This window comes from Homo sapiens, chromosome 7 (assembly GCF_000001405.40).
Source record: "Homo sapiens chromosome 7, GRCh38.p14 Primary Assembly".
In the NCBI taxonomy this organism is placed as follows: Eukaryota; Metazoa; Chordata; class Mammalia; order Primates; family Hominidae; genus Homo; species Homo sapiens.
The window spans coordinates 25306849-25308648 of record NC_000007.14 but is presented as its reverse complement, the minus strand read 5'-3'; positions in this window follow the sequence as shown (position 1 = coordinate 25308648).

Genomic DNA, 1800 nt, shown 5'->3' with positions numbered 1-1800 from the left:
CATTGACCCTTTTACTCAATGTCCTTACAAAGTAGAGTTACCTATCTCTACTTTGCAGGTTCTATCTTCTTTCATGCACGCCTTCTCCACCCAGCCTCTAGCCCCAGCCACATGAAACCTTGGAGATCTGAAGCATCCTCATGGATGGGATAACAGAAGAGACCATTGTGAATTCTTAGAGGAATACTGAGCCATCCCTGCACAGCTGAGATGAATATGATTACTCATCATTGCCAGCAGGGCTGTGTTCATTCTGGCGGGCAGTTAAGATAGGACAGAGCACTGATCTGGAACCTCCTGAAGGGCCCCGGCTCTTCTGTCTGAATGGATATAGGATGAAATCTTTGAGCAGTCCAAAAGCAATCTTAAGTCCAACGCAATTTAAGCAAGTTGATTATTTTCATGGCACTGGCTGATCTGCGTTTTAACAAGCCTCCATGTAAGTCCAATGCATGCTCAGGTTTGAGAACCACTACTGTAAGAGATTGTCCTTAAAGAGGAAAATAGAGCAAAGATGTTTATAAGTAACTCACCTGTAAAGAGAAGCCAGCATTAACCCCTAATGGAACAGATGCAAGATTATATGCCAACAATGTCCACTGACTGTCTGAATAGTAAGACAAAGGACATAAGAGAAGAGGTGCTAAAAATACCACTTAACTCTTACTTAGATGGGTGAGAAGGATCTCTGTGAATCATCATCATAAAAGCCAGCACCGGTTGATATAATAAGAAAATTATAAGAAATAATGAGTTAATAATACTGGCATATTATCTCATGATATAATATATATAATATAATTACATAATAATAATGGCATATTATTACTTATTATTTCTTATAATTTTCTTATCATTAAACCAGTGCTGAATGAATATTAGCATGAGTTAATAATAATAAAATAATAATAATGAGTTAACAATCATAAAAAATAGCAAGTTCACAGAAGCTAGAATGGACACACTAAAAGGCAGAGCTGGCTCAAAAGTAAAATCTTGAGTCAGGCAAATGTTTGCTTCCCCTTTCCTCCCTACCCTGTGTCAGTTCCTCTGATGTCTACTTCTAGGTTCCCAAGGTCCTCATAATTCCCAGAGGCTCTCAGAACAGAGAAAGGAATTCATTTATGCTAAGATCTAAATGACTAACAATTTTGTGCTCTAACTTTCTTTGAAGTATTTCGATTTTAAAGTTCCATGTTCAGAATCCTGTGCTGAACTTGGAGACCTACACAGCATTTCCCAAAGGCCAGGCCCTTTACATATATTAACTCCTTCACATTCATAACAATACTATGAGATCGATACTGGTTTACACCATTTCACAGGTGGAGAAATTGAGGCATGGAGATGTTAAGCAGTTCTCTCAGGGTCAAGCAGCTGAAGCATGACTTCGAACTTAGGTAGTCTGGCTATAAATTATAAGCTCTTAACTATAATATTCAACATCCTCTCAAACAAGTGGACTCTTAGGAAGATTTGGGAAGGAGACGCTCTGAGACAGATACTCACTCCACACCTTGTGAATAACTGCCAATTCTACCTACATATCGGGTCAGTTTTGGTCATGTATCACTTTGGGGTATTATTCCATCTTGGAAAATATGTGTATCACCCTTGTCTTCATAAACTTTTCCTGTCCCTACTGTTTCCATGAATATTTGCCTAATACAAATAAAAATCCTGAATTGTTTTTAAAGGATTTGTTTTTCTTATTAAAGAAAAAATATGATCCAAGTCAATGTAGTGCTTCCAAGATGTGTTTCTTCAAACTCTCAAGCATCCTAGAAATCGCAGGTTACA